This window comes from Homo sapiens, chromosome 11 (assembly GCF_000001405.40).
Source record: "Homo sapiens chromosome 11, GRCh38.p14 Primary Assembly".
Lineage (NCBI taxonomy): Eukaryota > Metazoa > Chordata > Mammalia > Primates > Hominidae > Homo > Homo sapiens.
Window position 1 is genome coordinate 74,936,494 of NC_000011.10, and position 16,769 is coordinate 74,953,262.

The window sequence follows — 16,769 nt, forward strand, 5'->3', positions numbered from 1 at the left end:
AACTCAGTAAGAGTTTTTACCTCATATAATGTAAAAGTACAGGCTTTGGAGTCAGTAGACCAGAGTTCTAATCCTGGATCAGCCATTTACTAGCTGTGGAACCTCAGCCAAGGCAAACTACTTCTTGGAGCCTCAGTTTTCCCATCTGCCCAATGGCAACAACACAAAAGGGACGACAATACCTATCTCACTAGGTAGATGTCAAGAAAGCTTTACATGTCAAGAAACTTTTGGGTCCCTTCATTATCCTGGCTGTACTCAATTTGCCAATATCACTCTAACAGTTTGGAGTAGATTGGGGGTAGTTGTGCCAGAGCAGGGCAAATCCTTCCCCACTTCCTCCCCACCCTAGCTGATGTGCTGGCCACTCCAGGATGCATTTACTCTCACCAGAAAAGCCTGGTCCAGGATATGTCCAGGAAGGTCCACCTGATTTTCCCGCCGAGACTCTTTCTTCCCCTTGAACTCAAAAGAAGTCGCCTTCAGGCTTTCCCGACGTTCAGCTTGTGCTCCAACCAAACCCTTGGGCTTCTTCTTGAGGTTACCTTTCTGAACCACTAACCAGTGTCCTTGGCCTGTTGAGAAAATTAGAACAGTGAAAAGGGGAAAACTCCAAAGCTACAACGAGTGCAGTTATAGACTTTGTTTATAATACTAAAACCAAAAATAGCTCCTGATTATCTAACATGCACCAGATACAATACTGCAGCTGGGGGTAGGGGAGATATCTACCTATCTATGTCATTTAATTGGCCTCCAAACCCAGTGAAAAACATGTCACTGTCATGATTTTATACATGAAAAGGCTGCGACAAAAGGAGGTGGAATGACTTGCCGAATTCCTTCCTTCACATTTTTATCTCCAAATTCTATTATTCCTTCAAAAACTAAGATCAAGTATTTCCTGTTCTGTGAAGTCTTCCCTTTTGCCCCTCAGTAGAGCTGATCCCTCTTTCTCATGCATGCCAGTTACTCTCCTATTGGTCATCTCTTGAGTAAAGCCCAATGTGTGACCTCAACTCAATAGGTTCCATCTTCCCAGACCTCTATCAGTATACAGAAAAGATGGTGTTAGAAACTTGGAATAAGAAAATGTAGGACAGATGGCATTAAAAAAAAAAAACCTAATAATACATGTCTACTGTAGAAAGAATTTTAAAATGTGTATAAGCAAAAAGAATATGAGGTTTACTAGTAAGCTCACCAAACAAAAATCATAACGTATTTTGGAATCTGTTCTTTCTCGCACCAGCAGTTTACTTGCTGTGTGGTATTCATTGCAATCTGTAATTATTTTATTTGTTCACTTATTCATTGTCTGTCTCCCTCTCTAGAGTGGAAGCTCCGTAAGAGCAGGGACTTTATCTGACTCATTCATCTCAGTATTCCCAAGGCCTGCACAGAGCTCACCGCATTGTGACTGTTGCTGAACAAATGACTGAATGAACCCTGTCTTATAGCCCCTGCCCACACAGTCATCCATTCCTATCTTTTCTGAGCATCTACTTTATGCTGGGAACTGGGAGTATGAGAATGAATAAAAAGGAAGCCCTAACTCAAAGGAGTCATAATAATATAACATCTTATATTATATACAATAGTATAATAATAATATAAGGGGTGCTGTGGGAACCAGCTTTGTGCCTCTAACCACTGGCTGTCTTCTGGAAAAGCCCACTATCTCTGCCTTGGGGGCTTGCCCTGGCTCACAGACCACTGCTGACAATCCTGCTTCTTGGATGCAGTTCCTGCCCTATGTCTCATATGAGTCATTTCCCATTTCCATTATGGGCCTGATACTCCAGTTACCCCATTTCCCAGGGCTGCCCCCATCTGGGGCATGAACTTTGCTTCTACTTTATCCTATCTTCATATCCCTGACTCCTGGGGACCTCAGTCTGAGTTGGTGCCAAAACCCCCAACAAGGTCAGAAAGGAAGGTTCAGAGTGTGTCAGGAGATCAACGGGAGAGAAAAGAGACTATGCAAATATCCTGTTTCTCATCATACTTTTACCCACTTATTCTAGTATCTGTGATGGTTAATTTTATCCATCAACTTTGCTAAAGCTATAATATGCAGTTATTCAATCAAACACTAATCTAGGTGTTGCTGTGATGGTATTTTGTAGATGTAATTAGTATTTACAATAAGTTGATGTTAAGTAAAAGAGATTATCCTTGATAATGTGAGTGCCCTCACCCAATGAATTGAAAGACATTAAGAGCAAAACAGGTTTCCTAGAGGAAGAGGAAATTTTGCTTTAACACTACAGCTTCAGCTCCTCCCCAGGGGTTTCCAGCTTGCCAGCCTGCCCTACGAATTTTGGACTTGCCATCCCCCACAATCACACAAAGTCAATTCCTTGAAAAAAAAAATCTGTCTACCCACCTACCTACCTATCTCCTACTAGTCCTGTTTATCTACTACCAGTTCTGTTTCTCTGAAGAACTCTAATGCAACATCCTATAATGGTTCTTACCTACAAAAATTATTACTGTAGTGTTTGAATAGTGACTTTCTATTTCCCTCATTCCTTCTACATTTTCTAGTTGGAATTCTACTATAAGAAAGAGCTGGCTGGGAGTGGTGGCTCATGCCTGTAATCCTAGCACTTTGGGAGGCTGAGGCGGGTGGATCACTTGAGGTCAGGAGTTCGAGACCAGTCTGGCCATCATGGTGAAACCCCATCTCTATAAAAAATACAAAAATTAGCTGGGCATGGTGGCAAGTGCCTGTAATCCCAACTACTCAGGAGGCTGGGGCAGGAGAATCTCTTGAACCTGGGAGGTGAAGGTTGCAGTGAGCCAAGATTGCACTGCTGCACTCCAGTCTGGGCAACAGAGAGAGACTCCATCTCAAAAAAAGAAAAGAAAGAGCTATTTTGTTTCCCCCCACATATTTACATATTCAAATATTTATATTAGTAGACTCATTTATTATTCCATGGTTTACAACCCAATTCCGCCATTATTTATTTCATTGCTCAAACTGTCCCAGCTTTGGTGATTGGGAGCACCTTCAAGTCAGCTGCGTCCTTTCAACATGCCCTCATTATTTTCCTGAGCACTTCTTTACTTCTGGCACCATAAGATACTCCAACTCAACTTGTATTTTTTCTGCCCTAGTCCTGCAAACAACTATTTCTCCAAGAAGCCCATGTTCTTTTCACTGGAGAATGGTATTTAGAAAGCAAGATGTAGATACTAGGTATGCTTTTTGCTGCTGAGGTGTCATTGCTGTCAGTGGACTGGTAAATATACATATGTACACTAAAACATATAGATATATACAACTATATTTATTTCTGTAGCTATCCATCTATGTGTGTCTGTGTGTGAGAGAGTGACATAGAGAGAGAGAGAGAGAGAGCGAGAGCAAGAGAGAGAGAGAGCGAGAGCAAGAGAGAGACAAAGAGAGAAACTATGAGCTCACACTGATAGCTCCATCTGAAGGTGTCTGATAGGTAGGTGGCCAGGGAAAGTCTCTGTGTGAAAAACAAAATCACTCTAGAGAAGCAGAGAGGACAGGCAGGAAGAGAAGTTTCTTCCAATATTCCATATACAGAGTGACCAACAAGTTACAACATCTGGAGTAAACAAGGTTTACTTCTCCTTTGCCCTACCCTTTCAAAGCAACAAAGCCAATCCAGAGAACCAATACTTAGTGTTTCACCTATAGGGCTCTTATTATGACAATTCCCTGCTCCAGGGAAGTTTTTAACTAGATAAATATTTGAAAATCTACCTGGCAGAGTCGAATTTAAGCCATTTTATTTAGGAGTTTGGCAGACCATGATCACTCATCAAATAAGAAATACAGACAGGAAGACAGCTCACGAGAGGATGGGCCCTGAGGACTAGGGTAGTCAGACATGCTTTACTGGAAGAAGTAGAAGAAGAGCTGGGATTTGTGGAATGGGAAGAGTTTGGCTAACAAGAATGAGGGCTGGAACATTCAGGGCAAATAAAAAAGCTATGTGAAAAGCAAGCACCGTGGAACAGAGCATAAATAAAGAAATGGGTTATCACAGAGGATAAGAGCAGGTTAAACTCAGAATGACACAGAATGCCAGTTAAAGGAGTTAGCAATGAGAAGTCACTGAACAGAAGGGGCACTGTGGTTAAATATGCACTTTAGAAGTCCCATGGAGGCTACTAGGACTGGAGGGGGAAGGATTAGGTAGAGCAGGGAACAGTAGTGAAGGGGTTGGAGAAGAACAAGTAGATGTGAGATGGTCTAAAGCACGAGCTAGGTATGAGGAAAAGGTAGCTATTTGAGAAGTCACCTGACCTTCCTCCGGCACGCGAAGCAGATTTCTGGCTGGGAAGCAGTTGTTCAGGTAAGGCTTCCCATCATCCAGCTTGTAGATTCCTGAGAAGGCCATCTCCCTGAGAGCCAGGCAAGGAAAGCAAGGAAGCAGAAGAGTGAAAAGGCACAGCAGAGCACTCTTACTCCAGTGCAGCTCATGAGCCCACCAGGACCACCACACCCGCACACACCCTGCCTCCGACACCCTGGAGGCCCCACTGCCCTTGCTTCAGAAATGGGCTGGCTGTTTACATGAAGAGAGAAACAAGACCCTGGGTTTTTCAGTTCAAATCAATCCTAACCCAATGGAACCCTAGAAAGAACATGATCCTCCAGCTCAGACTTGGTTTGAATCCTGGCTCTGTCTTTCCTTGCTCTGTGACTGGGCAAGTTACTCTACTCCTCTGAACTTCAGTTTCCTCACCTGCAAAATGGGGGTTATAATACCTACCTTAAAAGACAAGAGGATCAAGTGAGAAAGACAGTGCCTAATACATATTAAGTCTGTGCTAGATGTTTTGTTTTAACAGAGTTCAGAGAAGAGGCTCACATTTTAGAGAAAATAGTGTACAAATAATGAGACTTGAACTGGATAAATAGTATTTGAGGGATTGAGTTTTCTGATAGAGAGAAGGATAAACATTCCAAACAGCAAGGGCCACAGGAGGGCAGCTGTGCACAGTAAAGAAACAATGTGACCCAAGAAGGAGAGGGATGTATGTTTAGTAGTCTTGAACAATAAAGCTGGACAGGAAGGATGGTGCCTGCTCCTGAAGGGCTTGAGGTACCAGGCTAGGAGCTCAGGCTTCATCTTGTAGGTGACTGAGAGCCATGGATAATTTCTGAGCTGGACAGAGCCATAATCCAAGCTGTACTTTACAAAGAGAGATCTGACAAAAATAGCAGTAGGTGAAAGTGGCACCCAGTGGCAACTGGGATTGCAGTTAGGGGAGTATTGCAGCAACCCAGGGATAGCTGATGAGAGTTCATGTTAATAAACTAAAGAATTAAAAAAAGAAGGATGGACAGAAAAAAGGAATGAGAAAGGGAGGGACAGTAGAGAAAAAGAGGAGCAAGACCAATTAGAAGTATGAGCATTTCATGTGTGGACACAGCCTAGGCAACACAGTGAGACCCTGTCTCTGCAAAAAATTAAAAAAAATTAGCCAGCACAGTGGTACATGCCTGTGGTCCCAGCTACTTGGGAGGCTGAAGTGGGAGGACTGCTTAAGCCCAGGATGTCCAGGCTGCAGTGAGCCGTGATCATGCCTGGGTGACAGTGAGACCCCATATTTAAAAAAAAAAATGTGTGGACAAAGGAGGAGAAGCCCCTGGAGGATTCAGAAAAGAAAATAATTTTAGAGAAGTAGGAGAACCGGGGGGTGGAGAGTGGGAGCTGCCAAGTAAGCCAAGGGAAGAGAAAACTCTATGAAAGAGGCAGGGAAGTCAGGCAAGGTGGGGACCGAAAATAGGCCATGAGCAAGTAGGAGGTCAGTTTCAGAAGAAGGGTGGAGTTAAAGTCAGACTTTATGTATGAAAGAGTGAATGGAAGGCAAGGCAATACAAAAAGTGAATATAAGCAAGTTTTTCAAGACGCTTGATTGTGAAAGGGAGAAAAGCAAGACAGCAGTGAGATGGAAGGTAAAATTGCGAGATGGGTGAATATCAGGGCCAGCACTGGGGGAAGGTGAGCAAGGTGCCTGAGGAACACGTAGGGGGACATGTGCTCTCTCTCAGAGTTGTGCAAATGCAGTGTTAGCACTTGGCCTCCACCCTAGTCCCAGCCCTGGCAGACAGAGTCACTACCAAGAATAAATTCTGGAAGCTCACTGCATGGGTTCAGATCCTAGCTATGCCATTTACTAGCTGTGTGGCCTTGAGCAAGTTACTTGTCTATGCCTTGGCTTTTTCCTCAGTGAAATGTAGACAGTAAGTGCACCTACTTCATAGGGCTGTTTTGATGATTACAGGAGAAAATGCCTTAGTATCTGCCACATGGCTAACTCATGCTGCTCATTTTCCATTACTATGCTATTAACAGGATGAGAAAAGCTTCACTACATCTAGACTGAGAGGAAGGAGACAGCAAGGGAGGAAAGGCTGACAATGCAGGAGAGAGATGGGCAGACCCGCAGAGCCATCCCTGAGAAAGCAGGAAGAAGGGCACCCAGCATCCAGGGGAGGGGTTCCCTCACTGAGGATGAGGGAGGGCAGGCTCCTTCAGGGACAGTTGTGATGGGAGAGAGACTTCAAATATCCCAAGTGTTCCATTTCCCTAACACCTAGAGAATAAAAAGAGCACAAAAGAAATAACCTTCCATCCTCTATCTGCTATGGGGTGGCTCCGAGACTCTTCAATACCAATTTACAGTGAGTCAGAAATTCTTTAGGGGTGTGTGTGTGCCCATGCATGCACACACATGCAAAAAAGTTGGAAAAAGAATATAGTTCTGACTCTAGGGTATGACTCAGTCTTTTCTTCATCAAATGATTATTCTCTTCAGAGAGACAGGCATAAAAACGATTCCTCAAAGGCATGGATAGCCCTAATCACAACTGCACTTATCATTTGTCATTCACAGATTGTTCACCACAGTCTGATGTCAAACCTTGGAAAAACCTACATTTTACCGAGGACTTGCAAACACAAATGGTTACAGAAGTTGGGCAGGCTATGTGAGTGAGTGAAGAAAGCTGGAGGCGAGGGGAAGAGAGTAGGAGGGTGTGTGTGTGTGTGTGTGTGTGTGTGTGTGTGTGTGTATGTGTCAGAGAGAGAGAGAGAGAGAGTGCACCTGCTCATAGAGGCAGCAACTAGTCAGCTCTTACCAACTGCTGCCATGCAGAAACCTAAGTCACTGTTGCCAGAGCTTCACTTTTTTTTCAAGGAAAGTCTGCCTTATACGTGAAATCTCCTATTTGAGAGTCAGCAACTAATTTGCCATTTTAGAACAATGTGCAGGCCAAACCAAACACCTGAGAATCAGATTCAACTCCAGGCTACATTTCTTTTTTCTGATTCATCTTTTTTTTTTCTTTTGAGACAGTGTCTTACTTTGTCACCTAGGCTACAGTACAGTGGCACAATCACGGCTCATTGTAGCCTCAACCTCCTGGGCTCAAACAATCCTCCTACCTCAGCCTCCTGAGTAGCTGGGACTATAGGCACATGCCACCATGTCTGGCTAATTTTCGTATTTTTTGTAGGCACAGGGTTTCGCCATATTGCCCAGACTGGTCTCAAACTCCTGTGCTCAAGCCATCCACCCACCTTGGCCTCCCACTGGAAGGCCAGTGGAAATAACTGCTGCTTTTGCTAAGCTGTGAAGTCTTTCATCAGTATTTCTTTCGTGGCCCGACCTCACAAGATTATTAATGATCATGAAGGGGTACCTTCAATGGACTATGAATTTCCAAGTCTGGAAACACATCTAATTCACTGTCTCTCTTCCACCATTGGGACTTAGCTCATAGGAAGCACGCAATAGACATGTGAGCCAAGTGAAGGATATGATGGCACTCCTAGGACCAAGACATATATATCTGCTACACACGCACACACACATATCCTCAATTAGACTCTAAAACCTTCCTAAGAAAGGGCAATATCAATGGTAGTCATCAATTTATTCCTAACAAAGCACCTAACATAACAGATGTTATGACATAACAGATTCCATAAATATTTGTGGAATAAATGAATCAATGTTGGTACCTCCTTTGGTCCAACACAGGGCACTATGAGTTTCCTGATCCCTGATTTTCCCTGCAAAGGGATGGAGGCTTGTCTTATGTATTCCTACAACACTCCATACTTCGCCTAGTATAGCACTTATGACTTTATTATAATTGTTTGCTCCCCTCATCAACTTCTCACCTGTTGTGGGGCCTATAATTACCTTATTCACCTGTGTAATCCCAGCATGTAGCATAGAGCCTACGACTCACTAAAAATATGTTGGTAAGATTAATGGATAGATGGATGGATGGGGACAAATTTATATTCAGTCAATATGTCTTTCAGGAACTCTCTCTCATGACCAATCACACACATCTGCTAGAGGTAAATGAAAGAATGAATGAGTAACTTGCTGGCTGGAAAATGTTAGATGTGATGTAATTTGCTGGCTGGAAAATGTTAAATATGATGGCTGTTGGAGAAGCCTTCAGTAACTTACAGAATATGGTGACCTGGCTTCAGGTCTCCAGAGTACTTACTTGATCTTTGACTTTGGGAATGGCCCCTTAACTTCCTTTTTTTTTTGTTTCTTCACTTGTTTCTTTGCCTGTAAGATAAATATTATATTCCTTCTTAGCCTGCTATTCAGAGCTCTTGAACTTCCTCATTAATTATATTCTACTGTGAGCCTTCCACTCCAATATTTGTCTTGCCTTTAGTCCTTGCCCGTAGGACTAAGGATCCAAGAAACAGATAGATACCAATACAGAGATGGAGACAAAGACAAGACATAGATGGGAAGGTGGTATAGGAGAATATAATTATGATAGTGGGGTATGGCTGGAGTGCTTAAATCAGACACACGAAGCACAAACCTGAAAGGACGGGATCGTTTACATGATTATTTACACAAAATAAATTTCTGCCAGATAAAAATAGGAAAGTCAAAGTTGAAAGATAAGACACAGTCTGGGAAAAGATATTTGCCATGCATATAATACAAAAGATGACTCACACTGAAGCCTGTAGGAGGCATGCAGACCTGGATGCTATCGCAGAAATTCTAGTTCCCTATTAGGAATATTAGGTGAGAAGGTGTAGATCTACAACTAATGGGCCAAGAAGGGCACATAACCCCTGGTTACATTATCTAAGACAAGTAAGATCTTTATATGGTAGAAAAAAAAGTCAAAGTTCCAGATTTGGAGGCTGACTTCCTGGTTAGCTTTAGTTACCTCTGGTCTCCATCTCAAACTTGATGCAGCTAATGCCAATCTGACTGTAGCGCTTCCTCCAAAACAAACATCTCTCTTTCTCTCTCTCTCACACACACACACACAGAGTAAGGCATATTTTTGCTTGTTCCATTCCTTTGGCCTATCACATTTCTGCCCCTCTTCCTTGCCCGGCTACATACAGATTAGCTTTCCTGTATCTCCCTCTCCTTAGGCTGAGCCTCCTCAAGCCCACTTCTTTTTTTATTTATTTTTTCTTTTTTTCTTGAGACAAGGTCTCACTCTGTTACCCAGGCTGGAGTGCAGTGGCATGATCTCAGCTCACTGCAACCTCCACCTCCCAGACTCAAGCAATCCTCCCACCTTAGCCTCCCAAGTAGCTGGACCACAGACGTGTGCTACCATGCCCAGCTAAATTTCTATATTTTTGATAGAGATGGGTTTTCACCATGTTGCCCAGGCTGCCTCAAACTCCCAACTCAGCCTCTCAAAGTGTTGGGATTACAGGCGTGAACCCCCTTGCCCAGCCATCAGGCCCACTTCTTAATGGAGGCACTAACATGGTTAGGCTTTGTGTCCCCACCCAAATCTCATCTTGAATTGTAATCCCCATAATCCCCATGTGTTGAGAGAGAGACCTAGTAGGAAGTGATTGGATCAAGGAGGTGGTCCCCCATGCTGTCCTCACCATAGTGAGTGAGCTCTCACGAGATCTGATGGTTTTATAACTGACAGTTCCTCCTTCACACTCTTGCCCTCTCTTGCCTGTTGCCATGTAAGACTTGCCTCTTCCCTTTCCGCCATGATTGTAAATTTCCTGAGGCCTCCCCAGCCATGCAGAACCGTGAGTCAATTAAACCTCTTTCCTTTATAAATTACCCAGTCTTGAGCAGTTCTTTATAGCAGTGTGAAAATGGACTAATACAGGCACTATACCACACTGTATTATAATGCCTGCTTCCTTGTTTGTTCCCCACCTCACTACAGGCTGTGAGTATCTCCAAGGTCAGGTCAGGCCTGGGTCCTACTTACCTCTTTTTCTTTTTTTTTTTTTTTGAGACGGAGTCTTGCTCTGTCACCCAGGCTGGAGTGCAGTGTCGCTATCTCAGCTCACTGCAAGCTCCGCCTCCCGGGCTCACGCCATTCTCCTGCCTCAGCCTCCCTAGAAGCTGGGACTACAGGCGCCCGCCACCATGCCTGGGTAATTTTTTGTATTTTTAGTAGAGACGGGGTTTCAACATGTTAGCCATGATGGTCTTGATCTCCTGACCTCGTGATCCGCCCGCCTCGGCCTCCCAAAGTGCTGGGATTACAGGCGTGAGCCTGTACTTATCTCTTTATCCTGCATCTCACACAGGACCTGGCCTACTGAAGGAAGAGTCTCAATGATTGTTAATTGAACTAACCCAACCCATGAACAAAATGCCACAGGAGCACTTCATGCAGTGGGTGAAGAAAGAAGAAGCAAGTATCAGAAATAGTTTCACAGGGTAGGTGACATTAAAGCTGGATCTTGAAAGATGAGAAGTTGGCCTGGTGTGGTGGTTCATGCCTGTAATCCCAGCACTTTGGGAGGCCGAAGCAGACGGATCACTTGAGGTCATGAGTTCAAGACTAGGCTGTCCAACACGGCGAAATCCTGTCTCTACTAAAAATATAAAAATTAGCCAGGTGTGGTGGCATGTGCCTGTAGTCCCAGCTACAAAGACTACAGCTTGGGAGGCTGAGGCACAAGAACTGCTTGAACCCAGGAGGCAGAGGTTGCAGTGAGCCAAGATCCCACCACTGCACTCCAGCCTGGGTGACAGAGTGAGACTCTGTCTCAAAAAATAAAAAATAAAATAAAAAGTGACTAGGGCAATGCTGTATCATCTCACTTTATTTTAAATAAAAGAAAAATGAGAAGTTGTAAAAGATAAACTGCAACAACAAGCTACAGGGGATCTGACTAGTGTCCACGGATTGCTTCACAGAGGTAATGAAATATCATCTGATGTTATTGCTATTTAGTGATATTTATTTTCTTTTTAGTAATAATTTAGTTATTTAGTGATAATTATTTTCTTTTCTTTCTGATCTCGGCTCACTGCAACCTCCGCCTCCCCGGTTCAAGCAATTCTCCTGCCTCAGCCTCCCAAGTAGCTGGGATTACAGGTGCCCGCTACCACGCCCGGCTCATTTTTGTATTTTTAGTAGAGACGGGGTTTCACCATGTTGGCCAGGCTGGTCTTTAACTCCTGACCTCAGGTGATCCGCCTGCCTTGGCGGGGATTACAACCATGAGCCCCCACGCCCGGCCGAGATAATTATTTTCACATGAATTTTGGCTTCCCCAAGACAAGTTTTTGTCTGTTTTATTCAGGGATATATCCCTGGTGACTAGAATAGTGCCTGTTACATAGTAAGAAACTCAAAAATATTTGTTTAATTCTTTAGACGCTTATGGGGGATATATAGGAATTAAAAAACAATACAACGTAATAGAGCATGGTATAATACAATACTGCTATTTGATAACTCTGTCATGGAGTAGTAGTTCCACCAGAGTAGCAACCAGGTCTATCTTGATCCCCTGTATCCGTTAGTACAATATTGGTGCTCAATATACATTTGTGAAAAAAATTAATTAAAATACAACGTAATAGAGCATGGTATAATACAATACTGCTATTTGATAACTCTGTCATGGAGTAGTAGTCCACCAGAGTAGCAACCAGGTCTATCTTGATCCCCTGTATCCGTTAGTACAATATTGGTGCTCAATATACATTTGTGAAAAAAATAATTAAAATCTAGAATACTATTACATCCTAAAACCGTAAAAGCAGAGTGTCAGAAGGGATATATATTGGTTTTGATTTTTTTTAAATGCCGGCTTGAAAACCGAGTTCAGATACATGCTATCTGGCTTTGGGTAGGTTCTTTAGTTTCCTCCTCATCTAACAGGGCTGTTGTGGGACTCAGTGAGAGAGAGGATGGCTGGAAGTGCACATAGGATACTGCCTGGCAGACTGTAGGCACTCAGTAAACGCGAGTTCTCCGTTAACACGAAAACATTACAAACAGCTAAAATGACAGCTGCTTGAGAGAATAATCGGTAAGTGCCACAACCGGGCTAGAAAAGGATGAAGGACAAGCTCCTGCCCACTCCTTTGGAAACTCCACACCTGGGCCGGAGAAAGACTCGAATTCGAAAACTAAGTTTCAGTCGCACCTGCCTCCGGCGTCGCTTCAGCCTCCGAGGGGTCTGCGGAGGCGACGTCCCAGTCAGGAGGGATGCGCGCCTGCGAGCCCCCCGGGGATCTCGGAGCCGCTCCACTGCGGTGCCTGCCGCTATCTTCCCCACGCCTTAGTAACTGCGACGCGACGGCAGACAGTGTAGGCGGCAACCGACGGCCGGGACGTCTAACCTCAAGTCCCAGCAAGCCCCGCGGCCACGTCCTCTGACTACCTCGCGCCAGCAAGACCCAAACTACGGATCCCGATTGACTCCGCGCGGCGCGTCACGCTGTCAGCTCCAGCCAATCGGCTTCAGACAAGTCGGAGGGGAGGGAGACGCAGAGGCGGACAAGATGGCGGCGGCAGCTGTACAGGGCGGGAGAAGCGGTGGTAGCGGAGGCTGTAGTGGGGCTGGTGGTGCTTCCAACTGCGGGACAGGAAGTGGCCGTAGCGGCTTGTTGGATAAGGTGAGGAGCCGGTTCTTGGGAACAGTTGAATCCTGGGGAGGCCTGGGAGGCGGCGAGCCAACCTTCCCATCCCGGTCTCCCTTATTTTCTACGGCCTTTTGAGGGGAGCCCTTGTGTGACCACTATCACAACCCTACGCACGCTTGGAGCCTGCCCTTGCCCTCATCACACTTCAAACCTGGACCCGGTCCTCTTTAGAACTTCTTCTTTTCTCGCAAGTGTTCTGGTCCTGGTCGCCACACCTTTTTCGGTAATTTGATTTTTCCTATATTTAATCGTGTCCATCTCTTTTCTCCTGGGGGGCTGGGTGCACTGTTGTCAGTGCCCATTTCACAGACACGGAAAACCGAAGCCCAAAGATTAAAGAATCAGTATCCCCCAAACTCTCTACCACCATCACCCTTGCGTGCTGCTACAGATTCCAAAGTGCTTCTTGTCCTTTTGCTTACTGAAGTTTTTAGGCGTTTTATCATGATAGGCGAATACTGAAAATATTTGAGTATTGACTGTTCTACTGGGCTGACAAGAAGCCTTTAAGATTTTTCTTTTTTTCCTGTTGTTTTTCCCCGCCCTCTCCTCTCTTCCCTCCACCTCCCTCTTTGCTACCAAGTGCACTGCTGCCCGCTCACGCTTGCCCCTTTCCTCCCTCTGCTCATCCAAAAAAATTTTTTTTAACTGCAGTCCTAGCAACAAGGGTTTAAAAGAAAAGAAAAAAAGGAAAACTGTCCCTGGGTTGGCCTTTCTTGCTCTTTGCACAGCATCTTGGAAGAAACAGTTGCACGGAGAACAACGTCCTGGTGTTGATTTTGCCTCTAATTAGCTTTGTGACCTTGAAATATGCTTGCTCTCTCTATATCTGTTTTCTCATCTGCAAAGTGAGAGATTTAGCCTTAAAATGAGGGACTTAACTCTAAATTCCCTTCCAGTTCTCTCATTGTAGGGCCCTGGGCTGGTTTGATGAGAATTGTTAAGCATGGTGTCTTTAATATAGTAAGCAGAATTTTTGAATATAATTGAAAACAGCTTTCAGACTTCCCTGTGCATAACACATGGTAGGTGCTTAAGAAATGAAAACATGATTATGTTGAGGGGTTAAGATCCAGGTCTTTTTACTTGTCTTTTTGAGTGTCATTGGTTTTGAAAGACATGGTTCTCACACTCTTCTCTTGTGAGAGGGGTCACGCTCCATTGCCCAGAATGGATCTTAGCTCACTGCGGCCTTGAACTCTTAAGCTTAGGTGATCTTCCCACCCCAGCTTCCTGAGTAGCTGGGACTGCAAATGTGCACCACTATGCCTGACTAATTTTTTTGCTTTTAACTTTTCTGTAGAGTCAGGGTCTTACTGTGTTGCCCTGGCTGGTCTCAAATTCCTGGGCCTCAAGAGATCCTCCCACCTTGGCTCCCCAAAGTGCTGGGATTACAGGCATAAGTCACCATGCACCTGGCCTCACACTCAAACCTTAAGATACAGAAACATATTCTGGAGGTTGGGATGGTAAATTGCTTCAAGACATGTGAGAGTATGGGGAATTGATGGTCATTTGTGTACACAAATCCTTCCCTCTTGCTAGGTAAGCACCTCATAGCCTGTGCTTACCTGCCCCACTAACTGCTCTTGCTCTTCCTTGCACTTGGATCATCATCAGCAAACATTAAGTATGGGCATTCTGCTAAGGCAGTATAGAATACTATTATTATGGAATAGTGTATATGGCACCATTGTGTTATTGAAAGAACCCGGATGTGGGGATCATAAGATTTCAGCTTTGAAGTATTTCTGCTACTTGCTAACAGTATGAAGATTGGCAAGTCACTTAACCTTTCTTCATTTGGAATTTTGGAATCTCTGGCACCTAGATCACAGGGTTTTGGGAAGAACCAAGTAAGACAGTACACATTAATGATCTCCATTACCTGTAGTGTCCAGTACAGATGTGTGATGGTGGAGGAGTAAATCAAGAATCCTACTGTCAGAGAGCACTCAGAATAGCCAAATATAGGAGATGGGGTAATTGAATCTATTTAAGGAAGTATATGGTATATTCGCTCAAGTGTGTACTTGTTACGGAAGTTCAAATGAGAGAAATAGAGTGAACCCTGCGAGCTTATTGATAAGAGTAAGAGCCTCGGCCGGGCGCAGTGGCTCACACCTGTAAACCCAGCACTTTGAGAGGCCAAGGCAGGCGGATCACCTGAGGTCGGAAGTTCAAGACCAGCCAGACCAAGATGGAGAAACCCCATCTCTACTAAAAATACAAAATTAGCGAAGTGTGGTGGTGCATGCCTGTAATCCCACCTACTCGGGAGGCTGAGGCAGGAGAATCGCTTGAACCCGGGAGGTGGAGGTTGCAGTGAGCCGAGATCACGCCATTGCAGTCCAGCCTGGGCAACAAGAGGGAAACTCTGTCTCAAAAAAAAAAAAAAAAAAAGAGTAAGAGCCTGAAGGAAAGGCCTCATTCCTGAAAGTGGAACTGGCACCTTATTTGGGGGGAGAAAAGAAAGACATGCCAGGTAAAAAAGTCTCCTTGAGTAAAGTTACACAGATGTGATGGTGTTTTATGTTTCTCAGGTATTGAGTTGACTAGAAGGCTCTCTAAAGGAACTGTAGTGACAAGTAGATAGCATCTGATTAGGGAGGCCGTGGATTGCTTGAAGTAGAGGAAAGCTGTTGAAGGGTTTTGAGACTGTGTAAAGTGGTTTTTAGGAAAACTATTCAGATGGTTTGGAGAGACAGAAATTAGAAGACTTCTTAATAAGGCCGTATACACAGTAGTGTATAATATATAATAAAAAGAGACAAATTTGAGTTCTAGTGCCGCATGTTATTAGGTTGGTGCAAAAGTAATTGCTGTTTTTGCCATTGAAAGTAATGGCAAAAACCACGATAACTTTTGCACCTACCTAATAAAAGCCACATGACCTTGGATAAGTTGTGTGATATTACTGAATTTAAATTTCCTTATGTAAATATTGTGGACATTCATACATATTATAGGCTTGTTGTAAGGATCAAATTGTATAGTGCTGGTAAATGTTCTTTGGGTTTTTTAGTTTGGTTTCCTCTGCCCTTTTTATTTTATTTTTATTTTTATTTTTGGTAGAGACAAGGTCTCACTGTGTTGCCCAGACTAATCGTGAACTCCTGGCCTCAAGTGATCTGCCCACCTCAGCCTCCCAAAGTACTGGAATTACAGGCATGAGCCACCGCACCCAGCTCTGTTCCCTGTCCTTTGGAATCTACTAGAAGTAAATGTTCTTTGTAAAGGGCTGTCTGTGGTAAAAAATAGAATGACAAGGTGATGAGAACCCCAACATGAGTAGCAGAAATAGATAAAAGGTCTCACAAAAGAGTGCTTGGAAGATTTAACCAATAAGTGAGGGACAGAAGAGAATAGTCAAGAGCTGCTTGAGTGCCTTTTCTTGGAAAACTTAGTTTCAGCCTTACATTGAACTGTTCCCTCCCTGAATTCCTCTAGCACTTACACTGCACATGGGAATTAAGCTGTCACTTAATATGACATACTGTCTTGTATTATTTCACCAATTTGTATTTGCCCGTTTTCCTGTGAGTGCTTCTCTGTAGTGATCAACACAAGATAAGTACTTTTAGCATTGAATTTCGCAGAGAAAAAACTTGAGATCTGCCACCTCAGTCTTCAGAAACAGCTTTAGAGGATGGTGCCTCTAATTGTTTGAAGACTGAGGGTACTGTGGGAGAGAACTTGGGGAAAAAAATGTTATTCTCAGTGGAGCAGGATCTGAATGAATAGAGAGGCTTTTGCTGTGTGGGAATGAGAAGCTATTACCTTTAATATAATTTTTTTTTTTTTTTGAGACAGAGTCTCGATTTGTCGCAATCTCC

General features: G+C 44.0%; 2 protein-coding genes across 67 annotated transcripts in view, besides 7 other annotated features; one reads left to right on the forward strand and one right to left on the reverse strand.

Moving 5' to 3' along the window:
* Positions 1 to 12,598, reverse strand: part of XRRA1 (X-ray radiation resistance associated 1) — a 108,182-nt gene extending 95,584 nt beyond the window's left edge. For 30 of the 66 annotated variants that reach the window (NR_165439.1, NR_165438.1, NR_165437.1 and 27 more), the window contains exons 1-2: positions 12,435 to 12,598; positions 391 to 575 (exon numbers count right to left, since the gene is read on the reverse strand). Coding sequence is in view for 23 of the 66 variants with exons in the window: in XM_047426387.1 (XP_047282343.1) it covers positions 391 to 575; positions 4,292 to 4,385 (279 nt within the window). In the remaining 43 variants the exon portion in view is untranslated. Of the gene's footprint in view, positions 1 to 390; positions 576 to 4,291; positions 4,390 to 8,524; positions 8,593 to 12,434 lie in introns of all 66 variants that reach the window. The other 36 variants (XM_047426387.1, XM_011544761.2, XM_011544759.2 and 33 more) reach the window with 3 other exon arrangements.
* Positions 11,966 to 12,820: an enhancer, noted in NCBI's record as "H3K27ac hESC enhancer chr11:74659504-74660358 (GRCh37/hg19 assembly coordinates)". NCBI's record gives its function as "activates a minimal SCP1, AML or CMV promoter by ChIP-STARR-seq in primed H9 embryonic stem cells {active_cell/tissue: H9 hESC(primed)}" and the evidence as "EXISTENCE:reporter gene assay evidence [ECO:0000049][PMID:30033119]".
* Positions 11,966 to 12,897: a biological region, named in NCBI's record as "H3K27ac hESC enhancer GRCh37_chr11:74659504-74660358".
* Positions 12,318 to 12,367: an enhancer, noted in NCBI's record as "active region_5255". NCBI's record gives its function as "activates an Ori minimal core promoter by ATAC-STARR-seq in GM12878 lymphoblastoid cells {active_cell/tissue: GM12878}" and the evidence as "EXISTENCE:reporter gene assay evidence [ECO:0000049][PMID:35858748]".
* Positions 12,488 to 12,547: an enhancer, noted in NCBI's record as "active region_5256". NCBI's record gives its function as "activates an Ori minimal core promoter by ATAC-STARR-seq in GM12878 lymphoblastoid cells {active_cell/tissue: GM12878}" and the evidence as "EXISTENCE:reporter gene assay evidence [ECO:0000049][PMID:35858748]".
* Positions 12,678 to 12,897: an enhancer, noted in NCBI's record as "active region_5257". NCBI's record gives its function as "activates an Ori minimal core promoter by ATAC-STARR-seq in GM12878 lymphoblastoid cells {active_cell/tissue: GM12878}" and the evidence as "EXISTENCE:reporter gene assay evidence [ECO:0000049][PMID:35858748]".
* SPCS2 (signal peptidase complex subunit 2) overlaps positions 12,773 to 16,769 on the forward strand; it is a 29,768-nt gene continuing 25,771 nt past the window's right edge. The window contains exon 1 of the mRNA NM_014752.3: positions 12,773 to 12,906. Coding sequence (NP_055567.2) covers positions 12,793 to 12,906 — 114 coding nt within the window. The 5' untranslated portion in view covers positions 12,773 to 12,792. The remainder of the gene's footprint in view (positions 12,907 to 16,769) is intronic.
* Positions 12,821 to 13,675: an enhancer, noted in NCBI's record as "H3K27ac hESC enhancer chr11:74660359-74661213 (GRCh37/hg19 assembly coordinates)". NCBI's record gives its function as "activates a minimal SCP1, AML or CMV promoter by ChIP-STARR-seq in naive H9 embryonic stem cells {active_cell/tissue: H9 hESC(naive)}" and the evidence as "EXISTENCE:reporter gene assay evidence [ECO:0000049][PMID:30033119]".
* Positions 12,978 to 13,027: an enhancer, noted in NCBI's record as "active region_5258". NCBI's record gives its function as "activates an Ori minimal core promoter by ATAC-STARR-seq in GM12878 lymphoblastoid cells {active_cell/tissue: GM12878}" and the evidence as "EXISTENCE:reporter gene assay evidence [ECO:0000049][PMID:35858748]".